Source organism: Homo sapiens, chromosome 2, assembly GCF_000001405.40.
Source record: "Homo sapiens chromosome 2, GRCh38.p14 Primary Assembly".
NCBI classification, from domain to species: domain Eukaryota; kingdom Metazoa; phylum Chordata; class Mammalia; order Primates; family Hominidae; genus Homo; species Homo sapiens.
This window is the reverse complement of record NC_000002.12, coordinates 108466075-108481451: the sequence shown is the minus strand read 5'-3', so window position 1 is coordinate 108481451 and position 15377 is coordinate 108466075. Positions and strand designations below refer to the sequence as shown.

The following is a 15377-nucleotide window of genomic DNA, read 5'->3' as shown; positions in this document are numbered from 1 at the left end:
TCCAAGGTTAAATATTCTACTCATTAACAAAAATGAACTTCTGAAGTGTAAACACAATTTAAGGATAGATACAACGTTTAATAAACACAATTTAAGGACAGAGGATAAAAAGTTTAACCTGGATACCTAACTCCACCTGAAGAATTCTAATGAGAGAAATATTCCAGGCCTGACCTAATATAAAGTAAAGGTGCTAATGAAAGAACACTGGAAGACATTCACAGATTTAGTCTCTCACACTCTGCAGTGACACTTTCAATATTTCCTGAAGAATCCAAAGACAACTGAATTTTCTTTGATATTCCTAGTTGGCCTACTGAAGGACAGAATGATCAGACTTTCTTGCCACACACAAGCTAATTAGGTTATCCACCAAAATATGTAAATGAGATTCAGTTTCGAGACTGCATGTAGTTCTTTATGTTTTTCTCTCTCTCTCCTTCCTTATAAATCCTGTTTTTGCCTTTGTTTCTGGAAAACTTCTATTCTTCCCATAAATGTGCCTGCAAAATTACTAGCAAAATGGTGTTTTTAAAAAATTTTTTAACTTTTAAGTTCAGGGGTACATGTGCAGGTTTGTTATGTAGGCAAACTTGTGTCACAGGGGTTTGTTGTACAGATTATTTCACCATCCAAGTATTAAGCCTAGTACCCATTAGTTATTTTTCCTGATCCTCTCCCTCCTCCTACCCCTCCACCTTCTGTTAGGCCCCAGTGTCTGTTGTTCCTCTGTATGTGTCCATGTGTTCTCATCATTTAGCTCCCACTTATAAGTGAGAACATGTGGTATTTAGTTTTCCGTTCCTCCATTAATTTGCTAAGGATAGTGGCTTCCAGCTTCATACATGTCCCTGCAAAGGACATAATCTCATATTTTTTTTATGGCTGTGTAGTATTCCATGGTGTATATATACCAATTTTCTTTATCCAGTCTACCACTGACAGGCCTTTCGGTTGATTCCACGTCTTTGCTATCATGAATAGTGCTGCAGAGAACATACATGTACATGTGTCTTTATGACACAATGACTCACATTCCTTTGGGTATATACCCAGTAACGGGATTGCTGGGTCAAATGGTATTTCTGTTTTTAGGTCTTTGAGGAATCTGTTTTCCACAATGGCTGAACTAATTTACACTCCCACCAAAAGTGTAAGTGTTCCTTTTTCTCTGCAACCTTACCAGCACCTGTTATTTTTTTGACTTTTTAATAGTAGCCATCCTGACTGATGTGAGGTGGTATCTAATTATGGTTTTATTGCTAGCACACTGTTTATGTTTTCTTGCAAAGTTTATATTTGGAAGTTCCACTGAGATATTATGCATAAAAGAGAAACGACATTAACCAAGAGGACTGTGAAGCCTGGCAGTGCCTGCCTGTGGACCTGGACCTCTTGTGTCCTTGGCTCACCTCCGCAGGCTTCTCTGGTGGGGTTTTTCGTTTTTTTTTTTTTTTTTTTTTTTTTTTTTGAGATGGAGTCTCGCTCTGTCGCCAGGCTGGAGTGCAGTGGCGTGACCTTGGCTTACTGCAGCCTTCGCCTCTCGCGTTCCAATGATTCTCCTGCCTCAGCCTCTGGGGTAGTTGGGATTACAGGCATGTGCTACCACACCTGGCTAATTTTTGTATTTTTAGTAGAGATGGGGTTTCACCATGTTGGCCAGGCTGGTCTTGAATTGACCTCAGGTGATCCGCATGCCTCAAGCCTCCCAAAGTGTTGGAATTACAGGCATGAGCCACTGAGCCCGGCCTCTGCTGGGTCTTGTGTGGCATTTATGCTCTTTTGGATCGTGCTTGCGAAATCTTTTTTTTGAGACAGGGTCTTGCTCTGTCGCCCAGGCTGGAGTGCAGTGGCGCAACCTCAGCTCACTGTAACCTCTGTCTCCTGGGTTCAAGCGATTCTCCTCCCTCAGCCTCCCAAGTAGCTGGGACTATAGGTGTGTGCCACTACAGCCAACTAATATTTGCAGTTTTAGTAGAGACAGGGTTTCACCATGTTGCCCAGGCTGGTCTCAAACTCCTAAGCTCAGGCAATCTGCCTGCCTAGGTCTCCCAAAGTGCTAGGATAACAGGTGTGAGCCACCATGCCCGGCTCTTGCTTCCCAGATCGGATCCTTGACTAACGCACTTTTGTTTCTAATTCTCATTTACACATGGTCAATTATTTGACTCAACTGGTGGCTGACTGTTACAATCTGAATTTTGATTTTATAGTCTGTCCATTTAGTGATTTCAGTGGCAGAAGACAAGACTTGGGAATCTAGAATCTGGCTTATTTTTTATTTTTTTTGAGACGTTGTCTCGCTCTGTCGCTAGTCTGGAGTGCAGTGGCGTGATCTCAGCTCACTGCAGCCTCCACCTCCCTGGTTCAAGCAATTCTCCTACCTCAGCCACCACGTCCAGCTAATTTTTTTGTATTTTTTAGTAGAGATGGGGTTTCACCATGTGGCCAGACTGGTCTCGAACTCCTGACCTCAGGCAATCCTCAAGCCACGGCCTCCCAAAGTATGTTTTTCTATGTTTATTTATCTGAGTCTGCTACTTCTTGGCACACATGCATACAGGGTTGAGGTATCATTAGGGTCTTTTCTTTTCCATAGAAAGAAGATCCTGTGCTTGTTTAGTATTTGGGTAGGCTCCTCTAGAAATCAGAGATATTTATCCTCTTAGTCTCTATCTGGCCTTCTTCATTTTTACTCATTCTGGTTCCAACTGCTGTCAATAGCTGTAAAAACTGAATTGCTATGCCAGGGCATAATAAACAATGGCTCCCTTTGGGAAATTCTGATTTTAATCAAGTATTATTCCTAAGGGGAGTCTTGGAACAAAAATGAATGCCATGCATACAAGAGTCTACTTTCCTTATGTAGGGTAGACGCTTCTAAACATCTGAATAATTACAAATTATTGTCCCTCTAGGACTCCTGTGTGTTCAGATCTTTTAATAAACCGATACAAGTTATTACAAGTGATATGAACACTGAAAAAACTAGCCAAATTAACAAACTCCAAAAATTACTCAGTATCTTTATAATGATGCATCCTGAAGAACCTAATAGAGCGTAGGTACATGTGTTTTTAAAAGTGATCAACATTCTTAAACATTTCAGCACCTCTGGTTCTACCTTAAATCCTGTCACATTTTTATACGTAAGTTTATATTACATATGAAAATATGGTAATGAAATTTGAAAATTTAAATTTATACATGACAAAGAATTAGTATGTTTATATACAAAGATCTTACAAATCCATTAAAAAACCCATTTAAAATTTATATATGGGCTTCTTCATAAGAGCAAGTTACACAAGGAACTTGCTTCTTTACATTTTAAGAGACCCTATAATCTATTAATTTCTTCCAGAGGTAGACCAGGCATATCAATTTCAAATAGTTAAATCTATCAATCTTTTCCTTTGTAATCTTTTCCTTTGTAGGGGTGCAGTGGTACAATCTCCGCTCACTGCAACTGCCACCTTCCAGGTTCAAGTGATTCTCGTGCCTCGGCCATCAGAGTAGCTAGGACTACAGGTGTGTGCCACCATGCCCAGCTAAATTTTGTGTATTTTGTAGAGACAGGGTTTCGCTGTGTTGGCCAGGCTGATCTCAAACTCCTGGCCTCAAGTGACTCACCCACCTTGGCCTCCCAAAGTGCTAGAATTACAGGCGTGAGCAACTGCACCTGGCCGAAATTTAGTATCTAAAGTTTGAAAAAGTCTTTTGTATGCAGAAGTCAGTTAAAGGATCAAGTATTTCATTCTAGGTTTTTAAAAAATATTTTTCACAAAATTTTTTAATCCATCCAGAATACATTTTGGTATGTGGAGTGAAATAAAAACCTAATTCCTTAGAAGGAATTTCTTTCTTCATTGGTTTCTGTTTCAAACTTTACTGAGATGGTATAGCTTAGTTGGTGAAACAATAGATCTGGAACGAGACTCCCTGAATTAAAATTTCAGCTCTGCTCTGTTACTTGTTCTGTGACCCTGAGGTCTCTTAAGAAATCGGAGTCTGTGACTTTGAGTTCCTTCATCTATTTATGCCTCAGAGTCCTCACTTGTAAAGTGTTGATGCTAATATACTTGGGGGTTGTTTTGAGAATTAACATATTGAGATATGTAAAGTGCTTAGAAGAGAGCCTGGCACCTGTTTGTTGTTATGCAGAAGTATCTATCTCTTCTCCTACATTAATCTGTACCATTCTTGCATCAGAATTCTACCACATTACTGTAACTCTGTGATAAGTTTCAGTGTCTCTTTGAGTAGGATGTCACTTTTTTCTTTTCATTTAAAAAAAAATTTAGCTACTCTTGCTAGTTTTTACTTAAAACTTAGAATTCTGTCAAGATCCAGCCAAAAAAAATCTACAATTTTCAATGAATTTCTCTTAGAATTTATAAACCAATCTGAGAACTGATAGTTCAAATAATAGTCATCCTATATAAGTTTTGCAGTTTTCTTCATTAAGTGCCAAAACTTCTCATTTAAGTGCTTCCTAAGATTGGATTTTATGGCTGCTGTGGGATATTTTTTTTCATCAAATCCCGCCTGATTACCACTCACTCTCTTCTCCCTACCCACCTTACTTTTCTACACAGTATGTATCTTCTATTTTTGTATGTTTGCCTGTTATTGCCATTGGGATTTTTTTAAGTCCTAAGAGGATAGGAACTCAGTCTATTTGGTTGACCTCCAACCTGCCCCAGAACTCAGAAGTCAGTCTGCCACATAACATTTGCTGAATGAATACCTGAAGAAATGTAGTGATGTTTATCTTGCATTCAGTGATTTTGTTGTACTTTAATTTTTAATTCTTATCTTTTTAATAATACATTTTCATGTTACTAAGGTAAACATACTTTAATTTTTAATTCTTATCTTTTTAATAATACATTTTCATGTTACTAAGGTGAATAAGCATATTGCCTCCAAATAACAATGCTTCACCTTGTTTAAGCTTCAGGTTTATTCACTTGGCCAGAACAATATTAAATAATCACAGTAGGAATAGGTTATCTTTTTGTTACTGATTTTATTAGGAAATCCCAAAACAAAATTTTACTTTTATAAACAACAATTTAAAGGCACTATTTAGGCCAGGTGTGGTGGCGCATGCCTGTAATCCCAGCACTTTGGGAGGCCGAGGTAGGTGGATCACGAGGTCAGGAGTTCAAGACCAGCCTGGCCAGCATGGTGAAACCCCGTCTCTACTAAAAATACAAAAACTGGCCGGGCATGGTGGCGCGCACCTGTAGTCCCAGCTACTCGGGAGCCTGTGGCAGGAGAATTGCTGGAACCTGGGGGCAGAGGGTGCAGTGAGCCAAGATTGAGCCACTGCACTCCAGCCTGGGCGAGAGAGAGAGACTTCATCAAAAAAAAAAAAAAAAAAAAAAAAAAGCAAGCCACTATTTAAAGCTTAACCACTTTAGAATCTTGATATTAGGATTCTATTACATTGCACCCCAAAACAGAATAAAGATTTACTAAAAAATACAAGGTGATTGTTTTGTTGACAATAGTTTTACATTTCCACTACATTTCTTAACTTAGAAGTTATTATTACAACTTTTATAACTTGTTATTAAAATGACTATTTTTTACCTTATAGCTTTCTGCTCCTTGAATGAGATCTCTCATGGAAGCAGATAACTGGTCCTTTTCTGATCGAAGAGATTCAAGTTCTTCCTTCACAGTCTGGGTCTGTTTTAAACACAAGTAAAATTAAAGAGGTTTTTGTTTTTTTTTAATGGATAGAAAAACTCTTGATTTTTAAAAATGTGAGATTCCGGAATCTTACATTTTTAAAGTCAGCTCACCTCTTTTCTGCTGGAATCTAGTTCTTTCTTTGCCTTTACGGCAACTAATTTTATCTTATTTATTTTCTCCTCCTTTTCTTTGCATTCTTTTTCCAGATTTTCTAAAAATAGAAAATAAATGGATTACATACGAACTCAAAAGGAAAAAATTCAAATTACTTGCTTATTTTAGCCCTAGATTATTTGGGAGCACAAAATTGGTAATTTGATATTAAAATAAGCAGTAAAAACAGTAATATCATTTTTTAAAGTGGAATTTTATTCATTATGTGAGACAAACAATGTAAAAAGTTTCCATTGTCTTTAATCCTCCAAAATAGTCTACTTTTTTCTAGCCGTTTCATATGTTTCCAGGAATTAGAGGCTTTCAGGACTTCTTTCTCATTAGATTTCCTGGAAATGCAGGTATGCTAGGACTTTAGGTGATAGTGTGCAAATTAGGATCAAGTATCAGAGATATCAGATGCAGATCAACATTTATGCTCCATAAGTGCACTCCTCCTCTTGGCTGCTGGGTCTGATTTTCACAACGAAACCTGTAATATGTTTTACCTATCCAATATTGATCTCTGTTAACTTCTTTAGCTTGAACTCCTGAGTTCAGGACTTCTTGGTATTTGTTTCTAAAAATTCAGTTATGATCTGAATTTCTGTCCTGGCCTATTAATTTACTTGCACCGGTGCCTTCCCTCTGGCTGCCATAGTGAAGTGTCTGTGTGCGGAGCAAAGGCCAATTGTTCCACATCTGCATTTCATCCTGCGTCTCATTACCTACTCAAGCATCAGAGCAACAATTCTCCCTCCTTCTTCTGCAGCAATAATTTTCCCCTTTCTAGTCGATTTTTTCCTATTTTATAAACATGCAACAAGAAAAATTATCATCAAGAAATTAAGGCCAGGAACAAATAGTGAAAGCAGTTAAAGAGGGTAGGGGACAGGTGAACATCTTAAACATGCTGTTATTCTTCCCATAAAATAAAAAATTAAACCACACTGCCCCTCTAAAATAAAAAAATTAAACCACCCGGTCCCTCTAGTTTTGTCCCATCGCTTTTTTTCTCCCTATAGCAAATCCCTTGAAAAGAGTTGTCTATATATGCTCTCAAACATTGCCTCCCCCATTTTTTTCTAGAACCAACTGCAATCAAGCTCTGGTTCCAGCATGTCATGGACACTGACCTCTATGTTGCTTAACGCAGTGGTCAGGTCTCAGTACTCATCTTATTTGATACATCAGCAGCACTAGCAATGGCTTTTTCCCTCTTGAAGCACTTCTTTCACTTCCATGTCACTTGCCTTAGCTTTCAAGACATTTTATGTCCCAGGTTTTCCTACCTTACTAGCTGTTCCTTCTCAATTTCCTGTGTTGTCTCTATCTTCTCTATGTTTACATGAATGGAAAAATGTCTCTGGTCTCCATCTTTTGGCTATACTCCCTTGGTAATTTGAATCTCCCGGCTTTATTTATTTATTTTTTTGAGACGGAGTCTCCCTCTGTCGCCCAGGCTGGAGTGCAGTGGCATGATCTTGGCTCACTGCAAGCTCTGCCTCCCGGGTTCATGCCATATTCCTGCCTCAGCCTCCCGAGTAGCTGTGACTACAAGCGCCCGCCACAACGCCCGGCTAATTTTTTTTTTTTGATTTTTAGTAGAGACAGGGTTTCACCGTGTTAGCCAGGATGGTCTCAATCTCCTGACCTCGTGATCCGCCCACTTAGGCCTCCCAAAGTGCTGGGATTATAGGCGTGAGCCACCGCACTCGGCCTCTCCTGGCTTTTAATGACCACTCTTTAACTAGAAGTATTTATCTCTAGCTTAGCTCTCTCCCCTTAACTCCAGATTTGCATAGCATTCTAACATCTTTACTTGGACTGGTATTTAAACTTAATTCTAAAACTGAACATCCCAATCTGCCCCAATCACCCATTATAGACAACTGGGAGTCATTCTAAACTCTTCAACTTCCCTTACCCTAATCTAACAGGGTACTAAATTCAGGGATCATTGGCACATTACATACTTCTAAGTCTTCGTTTCCTGATTCTTATATGGGAATAAAAGAGCTATCCTATAATGTTACTGTGAGGAATAAATGGATAAGATAAAGTCCTAACTCCTCTGCATATCAATCATACTAGTGTGTTTATGATCAGGCTCCTACCTCTCCAGGAACTTCCTAGTACGTGCCTTGATGTATGCTATATGTCAACCTACAAGCACCTGCTCTTCCTTCTTCCTAGAATACCTTTCTTCCTGTGTAAAATTTCTCATTCTTCAAGACTTGGCTGAAAACCCTATTCTACGCTGCTTTTTTTTTTTTTTTTAACTCAAAACAGTGTTAAGTTCCTATGCTGTTAGTACTGTATCTTGTCCACACCTCAAACAACAGTGAGATCTCTGAGCACATGGTCTGTACCTCAACCACTTTTCTATCACCAGGGTCTAGAATAGTTGGGCATTTAAATAAAATTTGCTAAATGAATGAAAAATCCAAAATAAATCATGAAGCCATTTATAAATCACACCAATCTTGCTTGGGTTAAACAATAGAAAGTAACACTTTTGAAAGAGAAGGCAAACAGGTGTTAGAGGGGCAAGAATGTGAGCTCGAGGAAAAGACAGCTACGAACTGTGTTTTTAACAACTCATTATTTGGCTACTATATTTCCCAATCTATTCTAACACTAAGAAGAATCTGTCTAATTAATTGTGACAACATCTGCAAAACCATAGTTACCTATTTTTTCTTCCAACTCTTTTACTGAAGACAGAGGATCATTTTTTACAGAAGGTGATTTTGCTAAGGAATCCTAGATTTTACAGGGGAAAAAAAAACACAAAACAAAACAAAAACCAGAATCAGAATTCATTTTCCATAATGAACTGGCCATCATGTTAAGCATAAGAAAATCACTATCAAAGAGAATTCCTACAGAAACCAATTTGGTCAACAGATTTTCCCTTGTTAGACCAGAAAATTAATACTGACCTTACTATGCATATGGCATTTACTATTAAAAAAAAAAAAAGTAGTAACCAAGGCCAAGATAAACAACCTGATACATTAAATACATGTGTAATAAGGAGAAGATTAAATGATTTTTAATCTTTAATTTTTAAAGAAAACCCTAAAATTTTAGCAATACCACCACAGCTCTTACTTAAAAAGTGCTCTTTACAAAAAATAACTAAGCATATCACACGAGAATGAAACTCAAGTTTTTCCATGTTTAGTTGTTTTGCTAGTGACTAATAAACTTCTGATCAAGACATTTAAACCCCTAATCATTTAATCTTCTATAAACTCAAGATTTTAAAAGTATCTAAAACTCCCCAAAAATAAATGTAATAAACTGGACATACAACATGGAAATGTCTAATGCACTTTTCAGAAAGTTGCCACTTGGGCTTAAATGGTAAAAATTTACTTTTGACGTCAAGGTGTAAAAATGTTTAACGTATATATTGTAGAGTTGAACTAAGAATTTATTTGAAACAATAGAATTCAAATGAATGGTACCTTTAATAGTATCAACTCTGCTCTCCTATCTCGTAATTCTTTTTGTTCTAGTAGTGGCTTTAGGTTTTCATGTTCCTTTATAAAACATTTTTCTTTTTCATTATGGATTTCACTTTTGCTACATGTTTGAGATACTTCTTCAACTTGAATTAAAAGATTCTGATTTTCAAGCCTTGTTTTTTCATTAGCATTCTTCATTTCTAGAAGATCAGACTGCAGGGCCTCTTTTTCTGACTGTATTTCTTCTAACTCTTTCCTTAAGAGAACTTTCTCTTGCTCATAGTCTCTCAATAAAGACTTAAGTTCTTCACACTGAACTACACTCTCTTCTTGAAGGCACTTAATCTCTTTTTCTAACTCTAATACTTTTTCATCACGCTGAAAAGCCAGGTTGCATTTTTCCTCATTTATTTTTGCCAAGGATTCACCGACTGCCTGTAGGACATTAACAACATCTTTCTCTTCACTGTCTTCTGAAACTTCTGATCCCATTTCTTTAAGAAAACCATACAACTGAGTTTTAACAAATAACTTCTGAACTTGCTCATTTTCAAGCAGTTTATTTAAATTATCTTGCTCTTCAACCATTAACTGAAGTTTCTTTTCTAATTGAGTAATATGTTCTTTAAGGATAACATCTTCTTTTTGAGACAAAAAAACCTCCAAATCCCTACTCAACTGTTTTTTTTCTGAACTGAGTTTATTGTTTTCCTCATAAAGAGACTTCACTTCAGCTGACAATACTTCTTTGTCTTCAGAGAGAACTTTCATTTGAACCATAAGTTTTTCTAGTTTTTGGTCATTTTGATCCTTTTCTTTTAAAGTCTCCTCTAGTCCTCCTGTTAATTCATTTACCTTTTGTTCTAGTTCACTGTTGTACTGGATTGTTTGCTCTACTTTCTTCCCAAGTTCAAGAATCAATCTTTCTTCCCTTTCACATTTCTTATGGAAATTATCCATTTCTTCATGGGAATTTTTCAGTTTATTTATAAAATCATCTTTTTCCTCAGTAAGAGAATTTATCTTTCCTTCTAATTCTTTTAACATGGTATCTCTTTGACTGAGACTAAGTAAGTATACTCCATTCTTTTCTTGAAGGTTCTTTATGGTATTTTCAAGTTCTGGTACCAATTCTTGTTGAGATAGTAACTTTTCATTTTCTCCCTGGAGGCGATTCACAGTTTCGAGAAGGGCATCTTTTTCAGTAAAAGCAGTTCTGAGCTTCTGCTGCAGTTCATGAACATCAGATGCTTGCTGTTGCTTCATTGATTCGAACTCTTGACTTATTTTTCCAGCAGATTCCCCCAGTTCTGTTTGTAAAATTTCCATAATCTCTCGTAAACTCTCATAATTTAAAATTGCTTCTTGCTTTTCTTGCTGTAGGTTTTCACACTGTTCCTTAAGACCCTGTATTTCAAACATTAATGTTAATTTTTCTTTTTCTGAATCTGACAAAAATGTCTCATTTAGTTCTGATATTTCTTTTTGATGTTGTTCCTTAAGACTCTGTACTTCTCTGTTATGCTGTTCTACAGTATAGCAAAACTGTTTATTTAAACCTGCTAGCTCAGATTTTAATTTTTCAATTACACAGCCCTGTTCTTCTTTAGCTAGTAATAATTCATTAATTTTAAACTCTAAGTCTTCCCGTTCATGAAAAAACTCATCCTTTATATGTTGAGCATCCATTTCAAGTTTTAACTTAAGATTATTCATATAAGTTACCTCATCTTTTAAGATACTGTGTTGAGATTCAAGTTCTTTTAAGGTATCTTCTAAGTGTTTGACTTTTTCATTTACTACTTGTTCTACAAATGTATTTTCTTGCAAGAGAATAGAACATATCTGATTGTCTTGGTTTGCATTTGAGGTGGCTTTCCTTAAATTTTCTAACTCACATTCATATTTCTTCTGGATGTTCTTTTCACTTGCCTCACATTGTTTTACTAAGTTCTCTTTTAGCTCGTTCAACTTATTTATCTCTGCTTCATGTTCCTTAGCTGATGCTTCAATCTGGCACATCAACTCTTTCACCTCTTCTTGGTGTATAGCTTTCAACTGTAAAAGCTCTTCCTGCAAACTATTAATATTTTTTTGGTAATGCTGAGAATTAGCCTCAATGATATTTTGGAGTTGAGTAACTGTTTCCTTCTTTTCATCAGTGGTAGCGTCTAATTGCTTTTGCAGATATAAAATTTGCTCCTCAAAGCCTGGCCTAATTTTCTCAATCTCTTCTTGTAGTTTTTTAACATTATCTTCAGAGTTGTTCTGAAATTTAAGTTGTTCTGAAAGTTCTAATTGCGTATTCATTGCTTCTTCCAGCTGCTTTTGTAAGTTAGCTTTGTCTTCACTGTATTTGGAACGTACTGCCATCAACTCATTTTTCAAATTTTCAATTTCTTTCACATAGTTTATATGTGATTGTTCCAACTCCTTATGTGCATCTCCCATCTTTGTTACAGAATCCTATTACAAAAAATAAGCACACATAAATTATTTAAGTAAGACAAAAGGAGCCTCTGACCTTAGGAAAAATATTAGCCACAAGCTAAGTAGAGAGAAAAGTAAATGAGCAGAAATGTATTTGGAGAAACATGATACTGATATTCCAATAACTCTCCTTAGGTGCTGCCTATCTAAAGTATGACAATATATATCTACAATATTAAATCTATTACTCAAATTAGCCCAGACCTAATAGGCAAGAAATAGGCAAGAAATGCCTCTGAATACCGTAGAACTAAAGAGATAATGGTATTTAGTCATGTGTGAAAATCAACTTACTTTTTTTCGCTTTTAGTAAAGATGGCATTATAGCTATAAAAAAGATAATGCAACAAAAGTAAATGTCACCTCTGTTGCTGTATAGTTAGGTGATTCAGTTATTTTTCTTTTAAAATCTCAATCTCGGTTTCTTTGTTTATATTATAAAATATTAATCAGATTAGATGCTTTTTAAAGTCTTACCTCTAAAATTAATGACTACACTATATGTTAATAAAAAAGAAAAGAACACTAAAATATTGACTTACCTCAACCTCTTGCTTCATTTTTATATTTTCCTTTTTCAGAGAAAGACACTGTTGCTCAGTCTCTGCTTTTTCCAGAAGAAGAGCATCCAGACGTTCAGTTAATGCCTATTTTAGAACAAGATTTATTTGCCTGGGGTTAAAAAATGGTGGATTGACCACATGCGTAATTATCTCCTGACCTTTTCAAAACACACTGAAGTGAGAATAAGAGATTTTAAAAGGTAGAACACATTGCGCAAAGAGAAAAGGAGAAAAGATATAAGGATAAGAGAAATTTCAACACATCTTTGGAAAACTGAATTACGGAGGAGGATGAACTGAATTAGAAGCAGGAAGAAAGCTATAACCTAAGGACCTGCACAAGGAAACACATGAGAACCTGGCAAATATTCTGCAGAACTGAAATGCTCAGAATTGGAGGCAACAGATATTGTTGAGGGAGGTGTCATGTGTGGGGCTCAAAAATTGGTGATTGGTCAACAATCTGAATAGGGACCAGTCAGAGAGTAAGCAAGAAATAATCTATGTCCTTCCTCCCTCAGAGACAGGTTATTCTCTGCAGAAATTAAAGAGGAAATTAATGAGATGGAAAAAAAAATCAATAAGCCAAGAGTCAGCTCTTTTAACACAGCTATCAAAATAGACACCTTTTAATAAAACTGATCAAAAGACAGAAGTTCCAAAAAATAATACAGTGTAAAAGGAAGCATATCTATGTAAGTCGGGGATGGTGGCTCATGCCTGTAATCCTAGCACTTTGGGAGGCAGAGGTGGGCAGATCACTTGAGGTCAGGAGTTCAAGACCAGCCTGGGCAACATGGTGAAACTCTGTCTCTACTAAAAAATACAAAGAAAATTAGCTGGGTGTGGTGGTGGGTGCCTGTAGTCCCAGCTACCCTGGAGGCTAAGGCAGGAGAATTGCTTGAACCCAGGAGGTGGGGGTTGCAGCGAGCCAAGATCACTCCACTGTACTCCAGCCTGGGTGACAGAGCAAGACTATGTGTCAAAAAAAAAAAAGAAAAAGAAAATTATTATGAATAACTATTTGTCAATAATAATGAAAACTCAATGGAAATGGATAACAATTCCTTTAAAAATAAAGCTTTACTGACTCACAAAAAATTTAAGAAGCATAATACTATATTTAAAAATCAAATAGTTAAAAATTGTCCACCAAAGAAAACAGGAGGAATAGATGGTTTTTAAGGTGAGTTCTATCAAATTTTCAAGGGACAGATCATCCCAATTTCATACAAACTCGTTTAGACAAAATAAAAAGCAAGAATAATCCCCAAGTTATTCTATAAAATCAGCATAACTTTAAACCAATATCCAACTACTTACAGAAAGGAAAAATCAAAGACCCATTTTATGACAAATCTAAATGCAAAAATCCTAAATAAAACATTAGTACACTATCACTACTGCTAATCCACATTGTATTAAATACCCTAGCCTGTAAAATAAAGCTTTAAAAAGACAGGAGGTGGCCAGGAGTGGTGGCTCATGCCTGCAATCCCAACACTTTGGGAGATGCAAGTGGGAGGATCATGTTTGAGCCTAGGTAACAGGCGAGGCTCTGTCTCAAAAATAAATAAAAAAATAAGACATGAGGCATAAAGATTAAAAAAGAAATGGTTTTTCAGATGGTATGACTGTTTATATAAAAAATCTAGAAGAATCTATAGGTAATTAGAAACAACAGAGTTTCACAAAGTAGATATAGGATTAATATACAAAGTCAGTTCCATTTTTGGATACTAGTAGCAAATATTTAGAAAATATAATTACAAAGAAGACAGCATTTACAATGGTATCAAAGAATATCAAGAGTCTAGGAAAAACTTTACCAAAAGATGTGTGAAGGCGTTCCACAGGGGAAATTATAAAACTACAGATTCCACGCAATTCCAATTAATCGCAATGAAGTTTTTCATGGAATATGACAAAATTCTAAACGTATATGGGAAAGTAAAAAACCAAGAATAGCCAGGATACTTTTGAAGAGAAGAAAGAGAGGACTTACTCTCCTAGATATCATGATTTACTCTAAGGCTATAGAAAAATAATAAAGACAATATAGTATCAGCAAAGGCACAGACAACCAATGGAATAGAAAACAAGTTCAGACAAACGCAAACATATTTTTAACCATAATATTAGGTTAATGGAGAAAGGCTATTCAATAATTAAGGTTGAAAAAGTTATTGATATTAAAAAAGACTTCATACCATATTATAAACAAATAAACTCCAGATGGATTAAGATTTAAATGTCAAAAACACAGCTTTAAACTCAAGAAACCATAAGCTGGCCGGGTGCAGGTAGCTCATGCCTGTAATCCCAGCATTTTGGGAGGTTGAGGTGGGTGGATCATGAGGTCAGGAGATCGGGACCATCCTGGCTAACATAGTGAAACCCCATCTCTACTAAAAATACAAAAAATTAGTCAGGTGTGGTGGTGGGCGCCTGTACTCCCAGCTACTCGGGAGGCTGAGGCAGAAGAATGGCATGAACCCGGGAGATGGAGCTTGCAATAAGCTGGGATCGCCCCATTGCACTCCAGCCTGGGTGACAGAGCGAGACTCTGTCTCAAAAAATAAATAAATAAATAAATAAAAAAGAAACCATAAGCTGGGAGAAGATATTTACCACACAAACAACAAAAATAACAACAAATATGTATTTTAAAAAATTCTACAAACCAGTAAGAAACCCACTGGCCCATTAAGAAAATGGATGTTGGCCGGGTGTGGTGGCTGATGCCTGTAATCCCAGCACTTTGGGAGGCTGAGGTGGGCGGGTCATGAGGTCAGGAGATCAAGACTGTGTTGGCCCACAGAGTAGAGACCACTCACACAATGGGAGAAAATATCTGCAAACTACGCATCTGACAAAGGACTAGTATCCAGAATCTACAAGGACTCAACAAATCAGCAATAAAAAACCCCAAATAATCCCATTAAAAAGTGGGCAAAGGACATGAATAGACATTTCTGAAAAGGATATA

At 36.6% G+C, this 15377-nt stretch overlaps 1 protein-coding gene across 9 annotated transcripts in view; it reads right to left on the bottom strand.

Moving 5' to 3' along the window:
• GCC2 (GRIP and coiled-coil domain containing 2) overlaps positions 1–15377 on the bottom strand; it is a 60210-nt gene that overhangs the window by 27964 nt on the left and 16869 nt on the right. For 7 of the 9 annotated variants that reach the window (XR_923067.3, XM_006712870.4, XM_006712871.2 and 4 more), the window contains 5 exons: positions 12368–12472; positions 9336–11801; positions 8553–8625; positions 5817–5917; positions 5602–5700 (listed from right to left, as the gene is read on the bottom strand). Coding sequence is in view for 8 of the 9 variants with exons in the window: in XM_006712870.4 (XP_006712933.1) it covers positions 5602–5700; positions 5817–5917; positions 8553–8625; positions 9336–11801; positions 12368–12472 (2844 nt within the window). In the remaining variant the exon portion in view is untranslated. Of the gene's footprint in view, positions 1–5601; positions 5701–5816; positions 6664–8552; positions 8626–9335; positions 11802–12367; positions 12473–15377 lie in introns of those variants that run through there. The other 2 variants (XM_006712872.4, XM_047446449.1) reach the window with 1 other exon arrangement.